We start from the raw sequence: 25067 nt of genomic DNA on the forward strand, positions 1-25067 counted from the left end.
CCCACGTGTTTTGGGAGGGACCCGGTGGGAGATCATTGAATCACGGGGGCGGTTTCTCCCATACTGTTCAAATGACAGTGAATAAGTCTCATGAGAGCTGATGGTTGTACAAGGGGAAACCCCTTTCACTTGCTTCCCTCATTCTCTTTTTGCCTGCCACCATGTAAGACATGCCTTTTGCCTTCCATCATGATTGTGAGGCCTCCCCAGCCACGTAGAATTGTGAGTCCATTAAACCTCTTTTTCTTTATAAATTACCCAGTCTTGGATATGTCTTTATTAGCAGCGTGAAAGCAGACTAATACAAATGCCAACCTTGTGCTGGGCACCACTAGCTCTTTTTATAAGCATGGTCTGATTTATCTTCCCAACAACCTCGTGAGGTAGGAACTCTTATTTTATCCCCGTTTGGCACAGGAGAAAAGCAAGACTCAGAGACATTTAGTAATTTTCCCAAGGTCACATAGCTTCTAGTCATTCTAGAAGAGCTTGGGTTTGAACCTAGATATCCAGCCTCAAAGTCCTCCAGTCCTCTGTGCCTGTGTCTCCTCTTCCCCTGGGATACCCAGCATGGCAGAGGCACTCAATGCTCATTGACTACTCATGTCCTCCTCCACACTTCCCAGCCTTCCGTGCAGTCAGGGTGGGGTCATGAGGCAAACTCTGACCAACAGGCTGTGAATGGAAGTGACAGGTGTCATTTCTGGACCGAAACACTGAAGTGCTGCTGTCCAACCCTCCTGTTCTCTCTTGGCCTTTAGTGGCAACCACAGATGCCATGGTTTGAAATGGTAGAGCCACTAGAAGGAAGTAGCCTGTACAAGGGACAGCTAACCTGGACAGTTACCCAACCTGCAGCAGTTTTGTGTGAACGAGAAAAATACACCTTTGTTGCATCAAGAAGCCGCTAAGATTTGGAGGTCAATGTTTACCTCAGCACACTATAGCCTCTCCTGACCAATACACCAGAACAGGACACTAGATAGAGTAGGGTTCCACTCAGTTGGTTACTAACAAGGTGGTGCTCTCAGACATTTTGTTTTATAAACTTTACAGTGCTCCAGAGTAAGGATGGAACTGAAGGACTTTCTAAAACACAAGTTCCCAGCTGGGCGCAGTGGCTCACGTCTGTAATCCCAGCACTTTGGGAGGCCAAGGTGGGCGGATCACTTGAGGTCAGGAGTTCGAGACCAGCCTGGCCAATATGGTGAAACCCCATCTCTACTAAAAATATAAAAATTAGCTGGGCGTGGTGGCGGGCGCTATAATCCCAGCTACTCAGGAGGCTGAGGCAGGAGAATCACTTGAACCTGGGAGGTGGAGGTTTTAGTGAGCCAAGATTGCACCACTGCATTCCAGCCTGGGCGACAAAGTGAGACTCAGTCCAGTCTCAAAACAAAACAAAACACCAAAACACAACAACAAAAACACCACAAGCTCCCAGAGGCAGGTGGGAGAACACCAAGGGTCTTCATCAGCCCCCTGGGGAGCAGGAGCCCCTTGCCCAGCCTCCCATCCCAGGTTCCCCTCTGCCCTGCATCAAACTTCTCCCTGTTGCTGGTTTCTAGAGCTGTTCCCTCTCTGGCACAGCCCCTCTGTCTCCACCCCGCAGCAGCCGGCTTCCAGAAGCTAAAGCTCAGACACCACTGGCCCCTCCCCAGATGCAACCAAGTACCTGGAAGTCTCCCCACGCCTCACATTGTCTTTGCTTCACATTGTCTTTCAGATGAGTCCCTGGGGATGCGGAGCTCTTGCGATTCTGCCATCTGATCCTGCAATACAGGAAATCACCACTTTCTGGCCTCTGCTGACTGGAGAGCCAGTGTGGCAGGCAGGAAGCTCCAGTCTGGGCTGTCCACTGCCAGGTCAGGTCTGGGGAGAAGGTGGAGAGTCCCAGGCCCGAGATGGGCTCCTGGTTGGGGTGGGGAGGGCCAGGACAGCCAGCGTGTTCACTCCTCCCACAGACGGTTCTACAAACCCTCGTGGAAACTTTCTGTGCGGCTGGCCCTGTGCTTGGTGCTGTGGGAGCACAAAGGCAAGAGATCATGGCACCTGACTTCCAGGAGCCTCCATCCTGCAGGTCCAAGTAGGACATTAGCTGCAGAGAAACAGAGCAAAGGAATAAATAGCAGTCAGGGATTTTTCACTTGCAAGTGACGTGAACCCAGGGCCAGAGTAAGATCTATAGAGAGGCTGGGCGCGGTGGCTCACGTCTGTAATCCCAGCACTTTGAGAGGCTGAGGTGGGCGGATCACTTGAGGTCAGGAGTTTGAGACCAGCCTGGCCAACATGGTGAAACCCTGTCTCTATTAAAAATACAAAAATTAGCTGGGTGTGGTGGCATGCGCCTGTAATCCCAGCTACCCAGGACGCTGAGGCAGGAAAATCACCTGAACCTGGGAGGCGGAGGTTGCAGTGAGATCACACCACTGTACTCCAGCCTGGGCGACAGAGGGTGACTCTGTCTCAAAAAACAACAACAAAACAAAAAAAAAAAAAAAAAGGGAAAGAAAGAAAGAAAGAAAGAATGAACCAGCATGGCACATGTATACATATGTAACTAACCTGCACATTGTGCACATGTACCCTAAAACTTAAAGTATAATAATAATAAATAAATTAAAAAAAGAAAGAAAGAAAGAAGAAAGAAAGAGAGAGAAAGAAAGGAAGAAAGAAAGAAGGAAAGAAAGAAAGAAAGGAAGAAAGAAAGAAAGAAAGGAAGGAAGGAAGGAAGGAAGGAAGAAAGAAAGAAAGAAAGAAAGAAAGAAAGAAAGAAAGAAAGAAAGAAAGAAAGAAAGAGGAAAAAAGCCCTGATATAGCTCTGGCTGTGACTGAGTCACAGCCCCATACCTGAACTGATCCCATAGCAAGCACAGGGTTCAGAAGTGGAGGGGGTAGGAGAAAAGATGGGCTACTCCGACTTCGAGGCCTGGGCCTTATGAGCCTCTCTGGATCCTGGGAGTGGAATCAGCTTCTTCTGGACCACATGTCTGAAGGTGGGCGACAGATATTTCTCATGGAATATTGGAGTGTTTTGATCAGAAGGAGGAAGGATGCTGGGTAGGGTCACAACCAAGGTCTGCTGCTGGTGGGAGAATGGAATACGCCCTCAGAGAAGTATGAACCAAGGGCTGTGGGAATTCAGAAGAGGGAGATGTCATGTCCAGCTGAGGGGGTCAAGGAAGGCTTCATGGAGGAGGAGGCATCTGGGCTGGGCCTTGAAGGATGACCAGAGTTTGGGCATTGGATCTCTTAGGATGGGAGGAAAGGGCATTGTGGGCATAGGGAACAATGTGAGCAGAAACCTGGATGTAAGCCAGAGAGAAGCAGGGGCTGAAGCCAGATGAAGGAAAGGCCTCGAATGCCAAGCTAAGGGGCATGGATTGAATTTGTGGAGCCAAGGATGGGATCATCAGATCTGAGCCCCTGGAAACGCATACTACCCACTCAGGGGCCCGGCTCCCCACCCCCACCCCTGGCCTGCTCTGGGTGCCCACAGATCCCTTTTCCTTTCGTTGAGCTCAGACAAGTCTGGAGTTTTCCAATAGAAATGCTTACTCAGAAATGGAAGAAAAGTGAAAACAGAAAGTGTGATTACAGACCTTAGCTTTCTCCTGCCAAAGTAGACAAGCTTGGTACCTGTGACAGTCCCTCTTCTCTGGGCTGAACCTGCCCTCTCCCCTCTGCCTGCTGAGCCCCAGGAGAGGCGGGGGCTGTGCTGGGGGTAGACAGCGTGCTCTCCCTGTGGGACCCTCAGGCTCTCCAGGGTCCATTCCTGCCCTGCCCTGAATAGTACTTTCTCTGCAGCTGCCCTGGCTCAGGGCAAGGGGGGGCACCCCCAATTCTCACCCCCTAAATTCCTCCCCGACCCTGGAGCCACACTGCTCTTATTATGTCACCAGGAGGTTTTTCCAAGACGTCTGCTAAGAATCAGGTGAAAATCAGCTGAAGGCTGAGTCTGCGCCAGTTCTCAGCCCCTGAAGGGTGGGTAGGGCCATGTCCCAGTCAAAGGTGTGGACTGTGGATTCCACCTCTGTTGCTAAGATGGGACAGAGAAGTCCCATAGCCTCCCGGAGCCTCAGTTTTCTCTTCTGCAATAGAGAACTAATAAGCTCCAGCTCGTAGGATTTGTTGGAGGATTAAACAGTATCCCAGAAGTCACTTACAGGCATGGGACATGTCTGCAGTACGTGGTGACAATGAGGATGATGAAGAAGAAGATAATGGAGATGAAGGAACCACCAGGAGGGGAGACATGGACCAGCAGGGTCTTTTACTTTGGATTGCTCTGAGGTGACACCAGGTGTGTGTGAGTCCACATTGACAGGCTGGGCAGATGGATGGGCGGGGGGTCAGGACGCAGCATGGGGGCTGAGGGCAGCACCATCCCGAACCACACTCCTGGGCTCTGAGCTCGCCTCACGCTGCTGGACTCAGGAGAACCTCAGCATGAACACTCATCATGTCCTCTAGCCTGGAGCTTCCCAAATTAAGGAAGGGGTGGCCTCTGGGTCATTCCAGAAAGCCCTGTGATTCAGACCGTGCCGATGTTACCCTGGGTGGACTCCCTCAGCCTCAGCCTCCCTCATCAGTTAGGGGATCCCAATCAGACTTTTTGGAGGTCAGAGGCTGCCAGGAAAGAGGGCTTTTAACAAGGTTTCTACAAACCTTGAGATTGCTAGAAAGGGCCTGATGGACGGGGTGGGGCAGGCGGGGAGAGGGGGGAGGGGGAGGAAGGCTCAGGTCAGGGGTCACCAGGCCTTAATGATCCCTCTCAGCAAACTAACTTGAGGATGTATTCCAATTGTATTTGCTTATTTATGTCAGGAACATAAACTATTGCATTAATATATTATGCCTATTATAAAAATACGTATAAAACGAAAATTTTAAGAGATATCAATAGGAAACAAGTTAAACAAATGACGTCCCATGCATACAATCAACTATGACTGACCTATTTTTTAAAATGATGTCTTATAACTCGATAATAAGAAGACAAACAACTAAATGTAAAGATGGACAAAACAACCCAGGCGTGGTGGCTCATGTCTGTAATCCCAGCACTTTGGGAGGCCGAGACAAGTGGATTGCTTGAGGCTAGGAGTTTGAGACCAGCCTGGGCAACATGGTGAAACCCCATCTCTACTAAAATTACAAAAACTAGCCAGGTGTGCTGGCAGGCGCCTGTAATCCCAGCTACTTAGGAGGCTGATGCAGGAGAATCGCTTGAACCCAGGTGGCAGAGGTTGTGGTGAGTCAAGGTTGTGCCACTACCCTCCAGCCTGGGCAACAGAGCAAGACTCCCCCACCGCCACCACAAAACTCCCGCTGCAAAAAAAAAAAAAAGATGAAAGACTCTAATAGACATTTTTTTCAAAGAAAATATATGGGCTGGCATGGCTCAGGATATTGTGACACATGCCTGTAATCCCAGCACTTCAGGAGCCGAGGCAGGAGGATTGCTTGAGGCCAGGAGTTTGAGACCAGCCTGGTCAACATAGCAAAACCCCATCTCTACAAAAAAAAAAAAAAATTAGCCGATATAGTGGTGTGTATCTATAGTCCCAGCTACTCAGGAGGCTGAGGCAGGAGGATCTTTTGGGCTCAGAAGCTCAAGGCTGCAGTGAGCTATGATTGTGCCACTGCACTCCAGCCTGGGTGACAGAGGAAAACCCTCTCTCTCCTAACAATAATAAAAAAGAATGGTTAATAAGCACACAAAAATGTTCAATTTCAATTTGTTATTTGAAAAATGCAAATTAAAACCACAATGAGATACCATTTCAAACCCACCAGGATGGCTATAATCAAAAAGACAGATAATAATAACAAGTGTGGTGGAGAATGTAGAGAAAGTGGAAGCCTCATACATTGCTGTTGGGAATGTAACATGATGCAGCCACTTTGGAAAACAGCTTGGCAGTTGCTTAAAAAGTTAAACAGAAACTACCCAAGAGAAGTAAAAATGTGGCCACACAAAGACCTGAATGCTCATAGCAGCATTGTACATTTTAAAAACCCTGTAAATCATCCAAATATGCAAAAGCTGGTAACTGGATAAACAAAATGTGAAATATCCATTCAGTGTAATACTACTCAGCAATAAAAAGGAACAAACTGGCCGAGCGCAGTGGCTCACATTCGTAATCTCAGCACTTCGGGAGGTCGAGGCAGGTGAATCACCTGAGGCCAGGAGTTTGAGACTAGCCTGGCCAACATGGTGAAACACCATCTCTACTAAAAATACAAAAATTAGCCGGGAGTGGTGGCGCACGCCTGTCGTCCCAACTACTCAGGAGGCTGAGGCACAAGAATCGATTGAACCTGGGAGGTGGAGGTTACAGTGAGCCGAGATCGCACCACTGCACTCCAGCCTTGGCGACAGAGTGAGACTCGGTATCAAAAAAACAAAAAACAAAAAGCAAAAAAGGAACAAACTTCTTAAATGAGCTACGACATAGATGAACTTCAAAAATATTATGCTCAGTAAAAGAAGCTAGACACAAAAGACCACATATTGTGTGCTTCCATTTATATGAAATTTCCAGAAAACACAAATCTGTAGAGAAAGCAAATCTGTCATTGCTGGAGCTGGGATGGCTGTGAGGATTCACTGCAGATGGATCCAACAGGACTTTGGGGGATGATGGCAATGTTATAAAACTGGCTTGTGGTGATAGCTGCCCAACTCTATACATTTAAAAAAAAACTGTTGAATAGTACATTTACAATGGATGTGTTTTATGTAAATTATATCATATCTCAATGAAGTTGTTAAAAAAAAAATGAGGAAGCTTGTTAGGTACTGGTTTAGAAAGGTCTCCAAGATTTTTTTTTTCTTTTTGAGACAGAGTGTTGCTCTGTCACCCAGGCTGGAGTGCAGTGGCATGAACTCTGCTTACTGCAACCTCTGCCTCCCAGGTTCAAGAAGCGATTATCCTGCCTTAGCCTCCCCAGTAGCTGGGATTACAGGCATCTGCCACCATGCCCAGCTAACTTTTGTATTTTTAGTAGAGACGGGGTTTCAACATGTTTGTCAGGCTGGTCTCGAACTCCTGACCTCAGGTGATCCACCTGTTTCGGCCTTCCAAAGTGTTAGGATTACAGGTGTGAGCCACCACGCTTGGCCTCCAAGGTGTATTTTTAAATGGAAAAACAAAGCACAGAATACGCTACCATTGGTTTTTTTTTTTTTTTTGGTGTTTTTTTTGTTTGTTTGTTTTTGTTTTTTTTGTGATGGAGTTTCGCTCTTTTGCCCAGGCTGGAGTGAAGTGGCACAATCTCGGCTCACTGCAACCTCCACCTCCCAGTTCAAGCGATTCTCCTGCCTCAGCCTCCGGAGTAGCTGGTATTATCGGTGCCTGCCACCACGCCCGGCTAATTTTTCTTTTTCTTTTTCTTTTTTTTTTTTGTGAGACAGAGTCTTACTCTGTCACCCATGCTGGAGTGCAGTGGCGCTATCTGCTCACTGCAAGCTCCGCCTCCCGGGTTCATGCCATTCTCCTGCCTCAGCCTCCTGAATAGCTGGGACTACAGGCACCTGCCACCACGCCCAGCTAATTTTTTTGTATTTTTTAGTAGAGACAGGGTTTCGCCATGTTGGCCAGGCTGGTCTCGAACTCCTGACCTCAAGTGATCTGCCTGCCTCGGCCTCCCAAAGTGCTGGGATTACAGGTGTGAGCCACCGTGCCCAGCCCCACTGTTTTTTTTTAAAGAGGAACAGGTGTGTATATATAGACTATTATGCAGATTTATATTTATATGTTTATACTTACACATGCCTATATGGATTTGCACAGACGCTCTGGAAGGATACACGAAAACTGGTGAGACTAGGTGTTTTGGGTGAAGGAAGTGGATGGCTTGCAGGCCAGGACTGGGAGAGTGACTTTTGTACCTTTAAATTTTTTCTTTTTAATTTTGGTAAAACACACATAACAAAGTTTACCATCTTAGCTATTTTTTAAGTGTACAGTTGAGTGGTGCTAAGTACATTCGCCTTTTGGTACAACCATCACCACCATCCATTTCCAGAGCTCTTTTCATCTTGCGAAACTGAAACTCTGTACCCGTAAAAGAACTCCACTTCCCCTCTCCCTAGGTTCCTGGCACCCCCGTTTCTCTGTGAAGAAGCCTGCTCCAGACACCTCATATAGTGGAATCACACAGTATTCGTATTTCTGTGACAAGCTGATTTCACGGAGCACAATGTCCTCAAGGTTCACCCATGTTGTAGCATGTGACAGAAGCGCCTTCCCTTTTAAGGCTGAATAATATATGCGTGGGCCACATTTTGTTTATCCATTCATCTCTCCATAGATATTTGGGTTGCTTCCACCTTTTGGCCAATGTGAATAATGCTGCTATGAACATGGGTGTACAAATATCTCTTCCAGATCTTTATATCTTTATTTTATTTTATTTGTCGAGACGGGGGGTCTCCCTCTGTCGCCCAGACTGCCCTCCAACTCCTGGTCTCAGGCAATCCTCCTGCCTCAGCCTCCCAGCGTGCCGGGGTTACAGGCGTGTGAGGCACCGCTCCCGGCCGCTTTACATTTTTAAAGCATATGAAGGTACTACCTATTTGAAAATAAATTTAAACGTAAAAGGAAGAAATACAAATAAATACAAATGGAAGGTGTACAGTTTCTTCCCATATCCCCTACCAAGGTCCCAGCGGGTGGGTCCCCCGCAGGGCAGCAGCCGGCTCGCCCGCGCAGGGGGTCCCTGCTGAGTCACGCGCAGCGGCTCAGCCCGGAGGTGCCCTCGCCTGCCCGCCGCCCACCCGCTCCCCGCCGATTGGCGAGGCCGCATTCCTGCGCGCTGCCCGCGGCCGTCCGGGTGACTCACGGTGCAGGCAGCTCAGGAACGCCCGCTCGCGGGATGAGGCTGCGGCTCGCCCGGCCACGTCCTGAGGCCTGCAGCCGCTGGTTTTCCTATTTGGAAACTCCTTAGACGTCTCCGCTTCCAACAAGCTGGTCTCCTCCCTGGCCCCCAGCAGGCAGGGAAGCCTGCGGAGGAAGCGCCCTCTCTCTCTGTGCGGGGATTCTCAGGCCTGATCTCCTAAGGAACCACGTTCTCCTCTCCTCAATTCCAGATTCCCCAAATGCCTGAAAACCGAGCTTACAGGATGGCGAAATCTGACCTGAACCAACCTGAGATTAAGTTGCAGTTTCACTTATCTGGCTGCACGTGAATACTTACATGTTTGCTGATGGAAAAAAAAAGAAAAAGAAAAAAAAAGTACATGTTTGATTACAAGAATGCGGTCCCAGGTACCCTGAGGGTGCCATTCTATACACGCACCAAATTGTTTCTAAAATCTAAAGAATTCTGAATTCCAAAGCACATCTGGCCCCAAGGTTTTAAGTAAGAAACTGTGGGTCTGTGTTATACCCATTTTACAGAGCAGCCCGGGCTCAGAGAGGTCAAGTCACAGCCGGAAACAAGCCAGTGGGTCTAAGCCCGAGTTCCTGTCTTCCTCACGGGGCTGCACACAAGGCTCTGCCTACCCTGTCTGTCCCACTCCCTCTCCTGTCCTTCCTCTGGGAAGCTCTCCTTGTCCACTACAGCCAAAGACATCATCCTTCTTGGCAAACGACCTTTCCCCTCCTGGGTCACAGAGCCAATGCCTACCACTTACAGGCAGTTGTTGGGAGACAAGAAATCTCAAGTGACTAAGCCCAGACTCAGGGCTCCAGCTCCCCAGGCCCTAGCCTTGGTTTGGCCACTTTTCAGCTGTGTGACCTTGGGTAGGTTACCTAGCCCTTCTGTGCCTCAGTTCCCGCATCCATAAAGGGGCATAATAATGATACCCCCAGCCAGGCGTGGTGGCTCACGCTTGTAATCCCAACATTTTGGGAGGCCAAGGCGGGAGGATCACTTGAGGTCAGGAGTTTGAGACCAGCCTGGCCAACATGGTGAAACTCCGTCTCTACTAAAAATACAAAAATTAGCCGGGTATGGTGGTGCGTGCCTGTAATCCCAGCTACTCTGGAGGCTGAGACAGGAGAATCACTTGAACCTGGGAGGCAGAGGTTCCAGTGAGCCAAGACTGTGACATTGCACTCCAGCCTGGGCGACAGAGTGAGACTCCGTCTCAAAAAAAAAAAAAAAAAAAAAATGAAGGAGGCCTCAGCCCACCCCAAGCCACCCACATTCTCTCCCCATTTCGCTAGTGAATGGAGCAAGTTGGGAGGTGGTAGGTCTAGCTGCGGTGAGGCCCAGACAGGTCATGGTGGATCCGGGCTGACCCTACCCTCATCTTTAAGAACACCTCCTGGGCATTCGTCCGGCCAGCCGACTGCTTTTGGGAGCTAAGAGAAAGAGCTTGAGGTGAATAATCTTTCTGGTGATGCTGGGAGAGCAGAGGACCTTCAAGATCACCTGACCTGACATTTGGTGGATGAGAAAACTGAGTACTCAGGAGGGAAGTGACCTATGAAAGTCACAAAAATCTTTCCTGGTGCAGCGGCTACCAAAAGCCAGTCCAGAGTCCCTGCCCCACCCCCACCCCTACCCCCTGGGTATGGTGTTAGAGGAGAAGGACCCAGTGAATTCAGGACCTGGGAGTTCACAGCCCTCCCCTTACCCAGCTGGGAATCCCCACTGGGAGCGGGGGTCATCTGGGAGGCCTCCTTTCTCCCACATCCCCCACGCAAGTTTCAGTGTGTTTCAGGCCCTGGGCTGGGGCCACCAGGCCTCTGTCTGCCTCCCTGAACAGGAGAGCCACTGAACGTCAACCTCAAACGAATGAGAAAGCTGGCCTTGAACAAGTTTCACTTCCCAAGGGCTGTGGTGGCTACAATCTGGGCAGCGGCATCCCCAGTGCTCTCTTGCCAGCTCCTTGCAAAACCCCGCCCGGCTCACTGAATGCAGGACCCTCCTTCTCCCTTCTCCCTGGCCCCAGGGACTGATCCAGGCCCCCAGCAGGGGAGAAGGGGCCTCCTGAGCATGTACCTCTCCAGCCCATAGAGCCCCCCTTCCAACCCAGCAGTTCCCCAGCCTCTGCCTGCGCAAGCTGGGGTGTCCATGCCAGATAGGACAACACTTTGACCTTCCCAGCATGTCTCCTCTCTGTTCCATCCCCATCCACACATCCACCGCCTTAGCAGAGACCCTCTCCTCTCTTTCCCTGCAGCCTGGCAGCGTGTGGAGTCCTAGTGTGTAGACTTTGTCATCAGACACCCCACGTTCACCTTCTGATGCCACCACTCCTAGCTGTTTGGCAGTTCTAAATGTCTGCAAATTATCTGGCACTCCTCCCGTCAAGAACTGAAGTCTGGCCAGGCACAGTGCTCACTCCTGTAATCCCAGCACTTTGGGAGGCCGAGGCGGGCAGATCACTTGAGGTCAGGAGTTTGAGACCAGCCTGGCCAACATGTCGAAACCCCATCTCAACTAAAAATACAAAAACCAGCTGGGTGTGGTAGCGTGTGCCTGTAATCCCAGCTACTTGGGAGGCTGAGGTAGGAGAATCACTTGAACCTGGGAGGCGGAGATTGCAGTGAGCCAAGATCACGCCATTCTACTCCAGCCTGGGTAACAGTGAGACTTCGTCTCAAAAAAAAAAAAAAAAAAGAAAAGAAACTGAAGTCTGTGTCTTTTCTCCTCAAAGCCGGCACAAGACCTTTTCTCCTGGGTCTCTCTGGCTCTTCAATCCCAAACCCTTTGCTTTTTATAAGCCCTCAGACTCCCTCAGGGCGGTCAGCATTTGTGGAGTCATCTTATTTATTTATTTTGTGGATTTGGCAGTTACATGGGAGTTGTATTTCTATTTTAGTCAGTATCTTTAGATATTTCATTTTAGGAAGACATTTATTTATTTATTCATTTATATTATTTATTGATTGATTTTTCTTTTTGTTGTTGTTTTCGTTTTTGTTTTTTGAGACAGTCTCGCTCTGTTGCCCAGGCTGGAGTGCAGTGGTACGATCTCGGCTCACTGCAACCCCTGCCTCCTGGGTTCAAGCAATTCTCCTGCCTCAGCCTCCTGAGTAGCTGGGATTACAGGTGTGCACCACCACGACTGGCTAATTTTTGTACTTTTGAGAGATGGGGTTTTGCTACTTTGGCCAGGCTGGCCTTGAACTCCTGACTTCAAGTGATCTGCCCACCTTGGCCTCCCAAAGTGCTGGGGTTATAGGGGTGAGCCACTGTGCCTGGCCTATTTATATTTATTTTGAGACAGGGTCTTGTTCTGTTACCCAGGCTAGAGTGCAGTAGCAGGATCACAGCTCACTGCAGCCTGGAACTCCTGGGCTCAAGCGATCCTCCCATCTCAGCCTCTGGAGTTGCTGGGACTACAGGTGTATGTAACCATATCCAGCTAATTTTTTAAATTTTTTTTGTAGAGATTGGGGGGTGTCTCACTATGTTACCCAGGCTGGTCTTGAACTTCTGAACTCAAGTGATCCTCTTGCCTCAGCCTCCCAAAGTGCTGGGATTACAGGCGAGAGCCACTGCGCCTGGTGGTCTGTGATGTTAAACCACGTCAGCTCTTTTTACTATTTAGCTCTCTCCCCTATCCCCCCCCATTAGAGTGTGAGCTCCATGAAGGCAGGGAGGTTTCTTTGCATTGTAATCTGCTGCATCCTCAATGCCTACAACAGTGCCTAGCACATAATAGGTGCTTAATAAACATTCCTTGAATGCATAAGTGAATGGATGCATAACGTGCCCACTACTGTGGGGCCAAAACCAGCTGTAGACTGGGCACTGCTCTCTCCTCTGTGAAATGGAAGCTGTGGCACTGCCTACCCATCAGGGGTGTGGTGAGGTCACTGGAAAGGGTGACCTAATACGTTGCTAATGCTCAGATGGGGATTGCTGGGAGTGTTGCCTTTCTCAGTTGTCACAGGGCCACTAGGCGAGTCCCTCCATCTGGAAAGACAAATCCAGGCTTCCTGTTGCCCCTGGCCCAGACTCCATGAAGACACAAAACCTGTGAGCTTCCTTAGAGATCCCATACTCCCTCCCTGTTTGTACTCCAATTCCAGCTCTGGCCCACTGATCACTTGTTGAAATCCTGGAGTTTCAGGACCAGGCTTCATCCCCTTTATCCCAGGGTCTATCCCCCCTCCTGCCCAGCGCTGGAGAATGGACAATGAGTTGTTCAGAGCGTCCATTGAGATCACCTGATGAAAGAAAGAAAGAAAGGAAGGAAAGAAAGGACAGGAAAGGAAAAGAAAAAGAAAAAGCCAAGACGATGGATCACACAGCCAATGTCTTCCCATTTCCTGCCCAGAAGGTAGGAATCTCATGCTGAGCCTATCAGGACAAAGGAAATGCTGACGTTAAACAGGCCCCACCTGCACACACAGACAAGGTAGCGGTGGCCCTCTGGGAGGCACCTGCTTTCTCTTCAAACAGAGCAGAGAATGAGGGGGTCCTGGTGGCTAATACAGAGCCCCAGGCTCCCCCAACCCTCCTGACGGTTGAAGAGCAGTTTCTGTGCCGTTAGGTGGCACCTCTCTGGTGCCTGCAGAGATTATCTACAAAGGAGCAGGGCTGAAGGGATGGGGCCTGCCCCCTGTGCCTTTCAGCTGTTTACACCTGGCTCTGCCCCAGAGTGTAGAGGAAGGGAGTGAACTGGGGGAGACTAGTGTTGTTGGCCTGGAAAGACCTAGGCAAAACTCAATTTGAGCAGTTTAGGGGTTAAAGGCCGTCCTAGAAAAGCTAGCCTCTGCTAACAGCTAGTTAACTTTGCACCCTCCTTGGGACCCTCCCTCCCTCCAGTGTTATCCTCCCACCATCCCCACATCCTTATCTTACCCCCACCTCTCACTCCTGGCCCTGGGGGGAAGCGTCCCAGCAGCCCTGTTCAGAGGAAGCACCTCGTTGCCAGGACGTGGAGGTAGGCCAATTCCAAACCCTTCTTCCTTCAACCCTTGGCTGCTGCTGCTTTTTTTTTTTTTTTTTTTTTAGAGGCAGGGTCTTGTTCTGTCACCCAGGCTGGAGTGCAGTGGGGTGATCAAAGCTCACTGCAGCCTTGAACTCCTGGGCTCAAGCAATCCTCCTACCTCAGCCTCCTGCATAGCTAGGACTACAGGCACATGCCACCAGACTCACCTAATTTTTTTCTTGAGGTGGAGTCTCGCCGTGTCGCCCAGGCTGGCGTGCAATGGTACAATCTTGGCTCACTGCAACCTCCACCTCCCGGATTCAAGCGATTCTCCTGCCTCAGCCTCCCGAGTAGCTGGGACTACAGGCGTGTGTCACCATGCCTGGCTAATTTTTGTATTCTTAGTAGAGACAGGGTTTCACCGTGTTAGCCAGGATGGTCCTGATCTCCTAATCTCGTGATCCGCCCGCCTCAGCCTCCCAAAGTGCTGGGATTACAGGCGGGAGCCACCACGCCCGGCTACAGCTAATTTTTAAACCATGTGTAGAGACGGGGTTCTTACTATGTTGCTAAGGCTGGTCTTCAACTTCTGCCTCAAGGGATCTTTCCACCTCCGCCTCTCAAAGTGCCTGGATTACAGGTGTAAGCCACCTCGCCCAGCCCCTCGGTTCCTCTGAACACACCAACCACCCATGCCCCTGCCAGTGCTGGTGCCCCCCACCTCCCAGCCACTCCCCCTCACTGGGGCACCTTTAGCTCCTGGCTCACTGCCTGTGGTCCACCCAGCCTCATTCAAAATGACTCTAACATCCACACGGTGCCTCGTCTGCATCCTGACCTCCTCGCCTCCAGACATTACTTTCTCCACTGCACCCAGCTGTCCACTCCCACCGTCACATCCTACACCTTGTCCTCTTTTCTCACAGCACCATCCCTGAATTTTTACCCTGACCACACCTCTTATCCTTCCAGTTCTCTTTCTCTGGGGCAGGTTCCTTCTAAAGTTCTACTTTCTCTCCGGCCATCCAACCCCCCCTTCTTTCCCTCCTTTTCCACCTTGGGGTCCCTGGTCTACCATGTTGATTATTGTCTTGCAACAGCCCCAGCTCTTGTTTCTTGCTCCCCTTGTCGTCTTCAGCTGGCAGAACCTCACTGTGGCAAAGCCAACTGTGCACTTTTCCCCCGGCTGCACCAGGGAAGCCGAAGTTGCTGAGCCTATCTCATAGCCAGGCTGCCTGATGGTGCACATTAACCTGAAATGCACGCATGGCACTGCCTGGAAGCTGTTCCACTTTCTTGCCGGACACTGTCAGAGCTGATCGAATGTAAGAGGTGAAAGAGAGAAGGGATGCAGAAATTAGAAATTTCTGGCTGGGGCAATAGAGTTCTAGTAGTACCATTTTCTGAAATGATGGGGAGAAAGCGGTTTGGAAGAGAAATAATGGCTTCCGCAGTTGGTTCCACAGTTTTACCTCCTACATAGACCCTAAGCTAATGCCAGTCTTTCTGCATCCTCTAACTCTAGCTTGGCCCCATGATCTTGTTAAAATGTCAACCAGAATGCATCCCTCACCTTTGTAGAGGCTTTCTGTGGATTTGCATCTCACTGCAGAATTAATCCAGATGTCTACAAGCCTTTCCCAGTCTGGCTGCTGGCTCCTACCTCAAACCTTCCACTTCCCACTTCACCCCCATCAAACATTCCCATTCTCCGTAGACACCGACCACCTTCCTCTCCTCCTCCAGTGCCTGAGCACTGTCCCACCCAGGACCTTTGTACCTGCCGTGTTCCCTGCCTGTCAATGATTGCACAAATAAAGGGATGTGTGGATGGATGGATCCCTTTCTCTAGGGATGCTGGTACTGGATGGAAAATCACTCTGGAAACTGCCTCATGCTGCACATGGTAGGTGTTTTGCCCTGGCACCACACCTGACACACAGTAAGTGCTAAATAAGTGCTGATAAATGAACTTGTGTCACACGAGGCGGGATTTAGGGTGTGTAGGAAGTGTACACAAAGAGCCAGGGGCAGTGGGGTCTCAGAATAGGAAGGGGGTGAGGGAGGGTGAGGGCTCCCACTGCCCGGCCCTGCCCTGCCTGCTGGGCACTCCATCCTCCGACTGTCTACTCCAACTGCATCCCATCCCCCTCACACATCCTGCTGGTTCCCTGTGCCAGGCCTCTGCTCACCAAGGACCTCCATCCTAGAATGCCTTCAGAAGGGCCAGCTTTCACGGAGCCCTCCCAAGCTAGCTCAGCAATTGCCTGATTCCTTTGCAGTTGTTGATTAAACAGCTACTGTATGTTCACCATGGTCCTGAGCATTCATAATTGGGGAAACAGCTGAGGACAAGATGGAGGGCCCTGCCCTCATGCAGCTCACATTCTAGTGGGACAGAGCAAACTCACCAGAAATCAAAACGTCAACCTCCTCCAGGAAGCCTTCCCTACCCTTGTCCCCAAATCTCTGGTCTCCCTCAGGCCCTATGCCCCTCCCCCACGACACGCACCATCCTGTACTGTGAATTTCTCTCTGTATCTGACTCCGCGTGGGAGATAAGAAGACAGGGTTCTTGCCGTTTCCATCTTATTCTGACCAGCACAAGGCCAGCACTTGGTGGTAACTGTACCTGTGGGTTGACTTCCACCGGTGGAAAAGGTGGGGCTGAGGGACGGGCATGGCCACAGCCAGGGGCTGTGTAAGTGCCTGCATATTTGGGGAGAGCAAGGAGTGCAGGGGAGCGGGGTGAAGTGAGATGCTCATTGTCTCGCCAGATCTTGGAGGGCAGCACAGGTTTCAAAGGGGTTCTATGGCAATTTTCTTGTTAAAGGAATATGGCCCAATTTATCAAACCACAAAGGGAACTGTGAACTCAGTCACACGCAAAGTCATATCAAAACAAGGTGCCCCTTTCTTCCCCCTGCACCTGCTGATTACTTATAAAAGTTTAAAATAAAGCGCCGAGTGTGGTGGCTCAAGCCTGTAATCCCAGCACTTTGGGAGGCCAAGGCGGGCGAATCACTTGAGGTCAGGAGTTCAAGACCAGCCTGGCCAATATGATGAAACCCCATCTCTACTAAAAATACAAAAATTGCTGGGTGTGGTGGTGCACACCTGTGGTCCCAACTGTTCGGGAGGCTGAGGCAGGAGAATGGCTTGAACCTGGAAACTGGAGGTTTCAGTGAGCCGAGATGGCACAACTACACTCCAGCCATGGTGACAGAACAAGACTCCATCTCAAAAAAAATAAAAGCATCCCTTTCTTATGCAGCAAGTGCCTGGCTTAGGGAACCTGTTACCCTTCTGCAATGAAGTAGAAGTTGGAGGTGCTCTTATGGGTGACCTATCCATATAGGGTGCTAAAGGGAACTGGAATGACTTGGGGACATCCCTAACCTTTGAGGCTGACGTCATGGTGATAACCACTCACCCACAACACATCTTGTGGTGCCAGTTCTCCATAAGATGGATAAGGTCCCTAAACACACGGCTGCACGTCTGATGTTCTTATGAGCACGCAAAAGGAACCAGGCCCTCCCTGCCAGGAAGCTGCAGGGAAATTAGAATCATTTGACGAGTTGTCCATTCTTTCATTTGTCTAGTAAGGAGGTACTGAAAGCCTCCTCCTAGGAGCCGAGTATGGTGCCAACAGCTACAGGAATGGCAAACCATATAAATAGCCCAAACAGGATATAATTAGCGTCGGACGTGCACATGTCATGGGTGGAATGATGCAGAAAGAGTGATGCAGCCCCCATCTGGGGCTGGCATCACATGGGACGAGGCGCTTGAGCTAGACATGGAAGGATGAGCAGTGTGATCGCCAGGTGGAAAGGCATTACAGAGGAACGGCATGTGCAAACACCTGGGGGTGCAAGGAGGTGTGTGTGAAACAGCAGGGCTGGTTCAGGGAGCAGCAGGCAGCTATCCCACTCACGCAGTGTGTTTAGTGCTGGGCCTCTTCATCCCCCGACTTAGCAAGTCCATCATTCTCTAAGGTGATTTATAGGTAAGGAAGCTGATGCTCAGAGAGTCTGGGTAACTTGCTTAGAGTGCCACAGCCAGTGGCACAGCTCAGATTCAAAGTCAAGTTTGTCAACTTCACAAATCTGTGTTCTTTTTTTTTAAGCTCCCCTTTCCCAAATCTGTGCTCTCAACTACCATGCGGAACTGTCTTTATAATATGATGCAGGACCTCTAAGCCAGGCATGGCAATTTGGACTTGATCCAAGGCAAAGTTCCTCCAAATACCTGCTATTTGCACTGTACCTTCAAGTTAAAGCTGTCAGAGCCTAGAACTTTCATTTTCTTTCTTTCTTTTTTTTTGTTTTGAGACGGAGTTTCATTCTTGTTGCTCCGGGCTGGAGTGCAGTGACGCAATCTCGGCTCACTGCAACCTCCGCCTTGCTGTTTCAAGCGATTCTCCTGCCTCAACCTCTCAAGTAGCTGGGATTATAGGCACCTGCCACCACGCCTGGCTATTTTTTTTGTATTTTTAATAGAGACAGGGTTTCTCCATGTTGGGCAGCCTGGTCTTGAACTCCTGACCTCGGATGATCCGCCTGCCTTGGCCTTCCAGAGTGCTGAGATTACAGGCGTGAGCCACCACGCCCGGCATCATTTTCTTAATGTTTGTCTTTAAATGTTTCACGTTAAAAAACAAAAAGCAAACAAACAAAAACCCAAAATTTAAGTAATTTTGGTTGATCACGGTGGCTTACCACCGTGGCAAACCCAGAAATTTGGGAGGCCGAGGCGGGAGGATCACTTGAGGCCAGGAGTTCAAGACCAGCCTGGGCAACAAAGTGAGACTCCTGTCTCTACACAGAATCAAATAATTTGCCGGGTGTGGTGATGTGCACCTCTGGTCCCAGCTACATAGGAGGCTGAGCCAGGAGGATCACCTGAGCTCAGGAGGTCGAGGATCGCCTGAACTCAGGAGGTCAAGGCTGCAGTGAGCTGTGATAGCACCACTGCACTCCAGCCTGGGCCACAGAGAAAGACTCTGTCTCAAAAAAAAATTTAAATAATTTTTTATTGATGCATAATGTACATATGAAAGAGTACACAAATCAATCACTTTTCATTTGTGTAAGAACACAATAATTTTTCACCCAGGTCCAAAACAGAATATTATGAGTCTTCAGCAGCCCCCTCCAATGAACAACTCCACAGGGTAACCACTCTCCAAGCTTTAACAGCATAGATTAATTTTGCCTGCTTTTGAGTTTTATATAAATGGAACCATAACAACTGCTCTTTTTTGTGCCTGGCTTCTTTTGCTCAGCATTTGTGTGGCTTAATTCATTTTCACTTGATACAGAATTCTATTATGTGAATATACCACGTTACCCATTCTACTGATGAACATACAGGTTATTTTTCATTTTTGGCTGTGATGAATAAAGCTGCTATGAACATGCTTGTGCATGACTTTGGTAAATGCCATGTACTCATTTCTGCTGGAATTATACCTAGGCATTGAATTCCTGGGTCATAGGGTAGTGTAGATATGTTTAGCTTCAGCAGATATGGCCAGTTTCCAACGTAGTTGTTACAGTTTATATCTTCACTGGAAGTAAATCAGACTTCCAATTGTTCCACACCCCTGCCAACATTCGATACTGTCTTTTTCGCTTTAGCCCTGTGGGTGTATAGTGATATCATGCTGTGGTTTTGCATATCTCTGAGACTAATGAAATTGATCACTTTTCATGTTTATTGGCCACTCACATATCCTCTTTTGTTAAGTTTTAAGGCCTTTGCCCATTTTTATTTCTATTGATTTTTTAAATTGATAAGTAAGAGTTTTTTTTTGTTTTTTTTTTTTGAGACAGGGTTTCACTCTGTCACCCAGGCTGGAGTACAGTGGTGCAATCTTGGCTCACTGCAACCTTCGCCTCCTGGGCTCAAGTGATTCTCATGCCTCAGCTTCCTGAGTAGCTGGAATTACAGGCGTACACCACCATGCCCAGCTAATTTTTGCATTTTTAGTAGAGACAGGTTTTGCCATGTTGGCCAGCCTAGTCTCGAACTCCTGGCCTCAAGTGATCCATCAGCCTCAGCCTCCCAAAGTGCTGAGCCACCGCACCCCGCCAAGAGTTCTTGATATATTTGGGATGTTATTTCTTTGATAGATATGCAATTTGCAATATTGTCTCCCAAATAAATTTATTTTATGGAACATTACTACCATAACTAAAGACCCAATATCACATGTCACATATAGTAGGTAACTGTAAAATAAATAAAATTAAGACCATGTTATCTTTCCATTCTAGCTTGATATCTTGCTGCTGGTGGCTGTGGCTGGGATCCTGATCCCTGCAAAAACGAGAGATTAGCAAGAGAAAAACAGATGTGAAGGATAACAGGGAGACTCTCCTTGGTGTACTCAAAAGGCTGGACAGAGTTAGAGAAGAAACAAGTTCCTCATTTTGCAACTACTAAAGATCACTGCAGTGCACCTTTGGTACATGGTATGGGGGTCCTTGAACCTCCTAGAATCATGCCATATGCCACTCACTTTGTGAGTCCTCCACTTAGGGAAACACAACTGTATGGGATGTGGATGCAATGAGGTTGGTAAGCAGGGGTTGACATAATAAGAGTGGTGTTTTAGAGAAATCAAGTGGCAATGAGCACAGAAGCAAAGGCGGAGGAGGGGAGCCTGAGGGAGGAGCAGTTGAGGAGATCCAGGTGGCAAACGGGGAGGGTCTAAGCCAGGAGTGAGCCAGGGGCTGGGGTGGCGTGGGGTGGGAAAGATTGGAGGTAGAATCTGGGAAAGCAGTGACTGGTTGATGGGTTGATGTGTTAAGTGACACTGGGATTTCTTTTTTTTTTTTTTTTTTTGAGTTGGAGTCTCACTCTGTCACCCAGGCTGGAGTGCAGTGGCACGATCTCCGCTCACTGCAAGCTCCACCTCCCAGGTTCACACCATTCTCCTGCCTCAACCTCCTGAGTAGCTGGGACTACAGGTGCCCGCCACCACTCCCGGCTAATTTTTTGTATTTTTAGTAGAGACGGGGTTTCATCGTGTTAGCCAGGATGGTCTCGATCTCCTGACCTCATGATCCACCTGCCTCGGCCTCCCAAAGTGCTGGGATTACAGGCGTGAGCCACCGTGCCCAGCCAACACTGGGATTTCTAAACTGGGGGACTGGGAGGAGAGAGGTAGCAAAGACAGGAGAAGGAAATTATGGGGAGAGAGGAGATGACAAAATCAATCTGGGATACATTGAATTGGAAGTGTTTACATGACCTCAGAGGGAGATTCATTCATTCATTCATTCATTCGTTCATTCATTCATTCATATTTACCGAACATGTGCTGGCACCAGGCATGCAGCTGTCCATCAGACAGACAAAATTCCTGCTGTAATGGAGCTTAACGTTTGTGGGAAAGACAGATGGGGGAAGGACAGATAAAGACAAGCAAATAAAGAGGAAGTGGTGGGAGGTATGCCTGGGGCTCAGGGCTCCAGGCTGTGGAATGGATTTGGGGCCTGGCAGCAGAAGGGCAGCAGTTACAGCTGGCTGGATGGGTGAGCTTGCCTAGGGAGGGGGCAGAGTGAGCTGAGCAGAGGAGAGGGCGGCCTGCCAGCATTTACAGGCCACAGGGGAACGAGTGCCCACAAGGAAAACCACCAAGGAGCAATCAGAGGGGCAACCAGTCACAGGAGGAGGCTTCAAAGATATGACAACTGGCACATTCATGCATTTATTCAATCTAACTTCACTTGACCCCTTCTGTGTGCCAAGCTCTGGGTGATCAGAAATGAATGAGAAGCCTCTGGAGGTGACAGGTGTGTTGTGTGCCAGTGACGAGACCAGGCCACATGAAGGAGATTCTATTACGAAGTCCACATGCCCATGCATTGTGGGGGCACAGATGATGGGGGCTCACATTTTTTAAGCCTGATATATGCAAGGCCCTGGGGAAGGCTTCGTGGTGGTGGGGCAGGAGGCAGAGAATGGGGGCGAGGGCGTGGCGGCGAGACCCACATGGCTTGCACGGACAGCAGAGGCATCCCGGGAGGCTGGGCATTGGCGTGAGAGCGGAGAGAGTCAGCCAGAGGACAAGGAGCCGAGGACGGGGCAAAGATCGCACAGGGAGAGTGAGCTGAGCTCTGAAGGGCATGGAGGACCCGTGCGGGTTTTGAGGAGAGTACCTGCTGCTCAGGAATGTTCCACCAAGCAGACAGGAGTCAGAGGCGGCTGAATGCCAAGGCCCCTGGGATACTGGGGACAGAGCACCTCTTCCTGGCTCCTCAGCACTTAGCAGGTGCCAGAGCTCAGTAAGCGCCCACTCTGCGCCCTGCACAAGTGCGGGATCCACGCAGCCCACAGCATGCTGGGTAAGGCACTGAGTGGGGGGCGGTGGGGCATCTGGAAAGGCATCTTGCAGGGAGGCAAGAGCCAGGTATAGAGCGTGGGAGCAAAGAGGGGCTAGCACACGCTCCAGGGTCTGGGGAGACTTCTCTTGGGAGAATCCTTGGTTGCTGAGGATGGGAAGGATGGGTGAGGCAGAGGTGCCAATGCCCGGCCCGGTGGCCTGAGCCCAGATCCGCCCTCTGATGGGGAACCCCAGGCCCACAGGGACCTCCCTCTGCCTGACCCCAGACCTCCTCTTCCTGGTCCAAGCCTCACCTCACCTTCTCCTCGACTACATGTCATCAGCCTCATCCCCCAGCCTCGAAGCTCAGGATTGGCCGGAAACATGGGGGCTGGGGTCAAGAGAGGGCGAAGACTTCAGGATTCTCTTGGCCCCATGCATAGCAGCCCAAAACTCCCTCTAACACTCCCTGCTGTTCCCGCCTCGGAATCGCCCCTTGGGCAAAAGGCCTCTGGCGCCCCCTACTGGCAGTTCAGCTTCAAGACTCCCAAGCCCTCACGCTTCAACCCTGTCTGAAGTGAGGTCCAGCCTGAACACTTCTAGGGCCAATTCCAGGCTGCAGAGAGGTGGTGTGGGGCCTGGGCCAGGACGGAAGTCTTGTGATATTTCCTTGAACACCAGCAGCTTCCTAATTGGTCCCCTCCCTCCCTCCTTCAGCCACAGCTGGGAAAATCTCTTTAAAAGCATATTTGTAGGATACCACTCAGGAGTAACAAGTAATGAACTATTGATACCCAACAATGACTTGAATGGATCCTAAGGGCATTATGCAGAGTGCAAAAAGCCAGCCTTGCAAGGTTGCATACTGTATATTTCCATCCATTAACATTCTCAAAAGAAGCAAATTATAGAGATGGATAAAGACAAGGTTGCCAGGGATTAGGGAAGGAGCGGGAGGATGTCAGTGGAAAGGGAAGCATAAGAAGTTTCTTTTGAGATGATGGAACATTCTGTATCTTGGTTGCTGCAGTGCTGGCTATACATGAATCTATGCATGTGATAAAATGTCATGGAATTATACACAAAGACAAACAAAAATGAGTGCATGCAAAGAATGGTGAAATCAAGCAAGGTCTATAGTTAGTTACATCGCTTTCCTGGTTTTGATAAGGCACAATGGTTACGTAAGACGGCACCACCAGGGGAAGCCAGGTGCTGGCTGCACCAGGCCTGTCTGTACTATTTATGTAACTTCTTGTAAGTCAATAATTCTTTCAAAATAAAAAGTTTATAAAAACGGAAAAGCATCTCTGGCCATATTGTCCACCTGGTCATCACCTAGTGGCACCCACTGGGCCATAAAGGATGAAGTCCATTCTCCCAGCAGGGCACAGAGCCCTTCATGGGCTGGCCCTTTCTTCTGGAATGACATTTGCCATCTCTCTTAATATACCAAGCCCTGCTCTGAGACTGGCAACGAAACAAGAATATCCACTCTTGGAGGACACAGGGGGCTGTACCTCACTCACAGCTCCAGTTCTACCCGGCAGGGCCTCTCTTGTTGATACCAGTGGGTCCCCTCCTGTACTGGCCTGAGGAGACAGTCATCTGCTTCTGATGCTCTTGCCCAAGCCAGACAAAAGTACCTTTCCCTACAACACTGCTGGACTGAAGACTTGAAAAAGGACGGCTCCAGTGCTCTGAAAACCAAAGAGTCACTGGCTCAATGTGCTCTACTGTCCACCAGGCGATCTGGCTGCACCCCAGGGGCTCCTCTACAGCCCTTCCACGTCTTGTCCCACCGCAGAGGCTGTCTCACCCCAGGACCCAGGACTATCCTTGGGCCTGAGGAACAAAGACTATCAAGACTTTGCAAATGTTCCAGGTGCAAATGTTCCACCACCAGGTGCTGGGCCGTGCGTGTTGCACATGTCATTTTATAATGGTGAGAAGTTTCTGAGGTAGGCGTGAATTCCTAACTTTACAGATGAGCACACTGAAGTGAACCACTTGCCCAAGATCACTTTATAGGAAATGGCAGAGCTAGGGATTGAACTCCAGCTGTCTTCCTTTTCGTGTATCAGCTCATTAATGGGTATCTTTTAAACACCTTTTTTTTTTTTTTTTTGACGGAGTCTTGCTCTGCCGCCCAGGCTGGAGTGCAGTGGTGCGATTTTGGCTCTCTGCAAGCTCCGCCTCCTGGGTTCACGCCATTCTCCTGCCTCAGCCTCCCGAGTAGCTAGAACTACAGGCGCCTGCCACCATGCCCAGCTAATTTTTTGTATTTTTATAGAGACAGGGTTTCACCGTGTTAGCCAGGATGGTCTCGATGTCCTGACCTCGTGATCCGCCTGCCTCGGCCTCCCAAAGTGCTGGGATTACAGGCATGAGCCACCGCACGTGGCCTCTTAAACACCTTTTATGTGCCAGGCACTGTGCATACGATGGTGAGCAACGACAGAGTCCCCACCATTCTGGGCTTATAGTATCATGGCAGGGAAGTCCAGACAGCAATAAATAATCATGATATATGAGGGTAAAATGACAAATTTAGATAAGAGAAGCATATGGGTCTTTGATGATGTGTAGCAAACAACGCTGACCTAGCTGGGCATTGGAAGGAGCTGCCCAAGGAAGTTACCTGAGCACAGTGCTAAAAGATGACTAAGTAAAGGGAGAAGAGAACTACAAAGAGAACACAGCACATGCAAAGGTCCTGGGGCAGAGGGAGTGTGAAACATTTGTGAAATCGATGGGAGGCCAGTGTAGCTGCAGTCCAGAAACCAAAGAGCATGTAAGGCACAGGACCGAGCAAGTGTTCACTGCAGCCAGACTGTGTTCTCAGAGCCTTGTGAGTATTGTCTCATGGCATCTTCACAACCA

General features: G+C 49.7%; 1 long non-coding RNA gene across 1 annotated transcript, besides 9 other annotated features; it reads right to left on the bottom strand.

Moving 5' to 3' along the window:
• Positions 1-240: 240 nt before the first annotated feature.
• On the bottom strand, positions 241-3514 carry LOC105371796 (uncharacterized). Its single transcript, XR_934786.3, has 3 exons — positions 2851-3514; positions 1676-1772; positions 241-675 (listed from the first exon to the last, which is right to left on the bottom strand). It is a non-coding gene; the product is annotated as an uncharacterized LOC105371796 (long non-coding RNA).
• Positions 8211-9410: an enhancer, noted in NCBI's record as "P300/CBP strongly-dependent group 1 enhancer chr17:43448585-43449784 (GRCh37/hg19 assembly coordinates)". NCBI's record gives its function as "activates an origin of replication core promoter dependent on BRD2, BRD4, P300/CBP, MED14 and CDK7 cofactors, with strong dependence on P300/CBP, by STARR-seq in HCT116 cells {active_cell/tissue: HCT116}" and the evidence as "EXISTENCE:reporter gene assay evidence [ECO:0000049][PMID:35650434]".
• Positions 8211-9658: a biological region, named in NCBI's record as "P300/CBP strongly-dependent group 1 enhancer GRCh37_chr17:43448585-43449784".
• Positions 8360-9008: an enhancer, noted in NCBI's record as "OCT4-NANOG-H3K27ac-H3K4me1 hESC enhancer chr17:43448734-43449382 (GRCh37/hg19 assembly coordinates)". NCBI's record gives its function as "activates a minimal SCP1, AML or CMV promoter by ChIP-STARR-seq in naive H9 embryonic stem cells {active_cell/tissue: H9 hESC(naive)}" and the evidence as "EXISTENCE:reporter gene assay evidence [ECO:0000049][PMID:30033119]".
• Positions 8755-9049: an enhancer, noted in NCBI's record as "tiled region #455; HepG2 Activating DNase unmatched - State 1:Tss". NCBI's record gives its function as "activates a minimal TATA promoter and a strong SV40 promoter by Sharpr-MPRA in HepG2 cells {active_cell/tissue: HepG2}" and the evidence as "EXISTENCE:reporter gene assay evidence [ECO:0000049][PMID:27701403]".
• Positions 9009-9658: an enhancer, noted in NCBI's record as "OCT4-NANOG-H3K27ac-H3K4me1 hESC enhancer chr17:43449383-43450032 (GRCh37/hg19 assembly coordinates)". NCBI's record gives its function as "activates a minimal SCP1, AML or CMV promoter by ChIP-STARR-seq in primed H9 embryonic stem cells {active_cell/tissue: H9 hESC(primed)}" and the evidence as "EXISTENCE:reporter gene assay evidence [ECO:0000049][PMID:30033119]".
• Positions 10317-10889: an enhancer, noted in NCBI's record as "H3K27ac-H3K4me1 hESC enhancer chr17:43450691-43451263 (GRCh37/hg19 assembly coordinates)". NCBI's record gives its function as "activates a minimal SCP1, AML or CMV promoter by ChIP-STARR-seq in naive H9 embryonic stem cells {active_cell/tissue: H9 hESC(naive)}" and the evidence as "EXISTENCE:reporter gene assay evidence [ECO:0000049][PMID:30033119]".
• Positions 10890-11461: an enhancer, noted in NCBI's record as "H3K27ac-H3K4me1 hESC enhancer chr17:43451264-43451835 (GRCh37/hg19 assembly coordinates)". NCBI's record gives its function as "activates a minimal SCP1, AML or CMV promoter by ChIP-STARR-seq in naive and primed H9 embryonic stem cells {active_cell/tissue: H9 hESC(naive and primed)}" and the evidence as "EXISTENCE:reporter gene assay evidence [ECO:0000049][PMID:30033119]".
• Positions 13301-14106: an enhancer, noted in NCBI's record as "H3K27ac hESC enhancer chr17:43453675-43454480 (GRCh37/hg19 assembly coordinates)". NCBI's record gives its function as "activates a minimal SCP1, AML or CMV promoter by ChIP-STARR-seq in primed H9 embryonic stem cells {active_cell/tissue: H9 hESC(primed)}" and the evidence as "EXISTENCE:reporter gene assay evidence [ECO:0000049][PMID:30033119]".
• Positions 21871-22838: an enhancer, noted in NCBI's record as "H3K27ac-H3K4me1 hESC enhancer chr17:43462245-43463212 (GRCh37/hg19 assembly coordinates)". NCBI's record gives its function as "activates a minimal SCP1, AML or CMV promoter by ChIP-STARR-seq in naive H9 embryonic stem cells {active_cell/tissue: H9 hESC(naive)}" and the evidence as "EXISTENCE:reporter gene assay evidence [ECO:0000049][PMID:30033119]".

The sequence above is a fragment of the Homo sapiens genome, chromosome 17, assembly GCF_000001405.40.
Source record: "Homo sapiens chromosome 17, GRCh38.p14 Primary Assembly".
In the NCBI taxonomy this organism is placed as follows: Eukaryota; Metazoa; Chordata; class Mammalia; order Primates; family Hominidae; genus Homo; species Homo sapiens.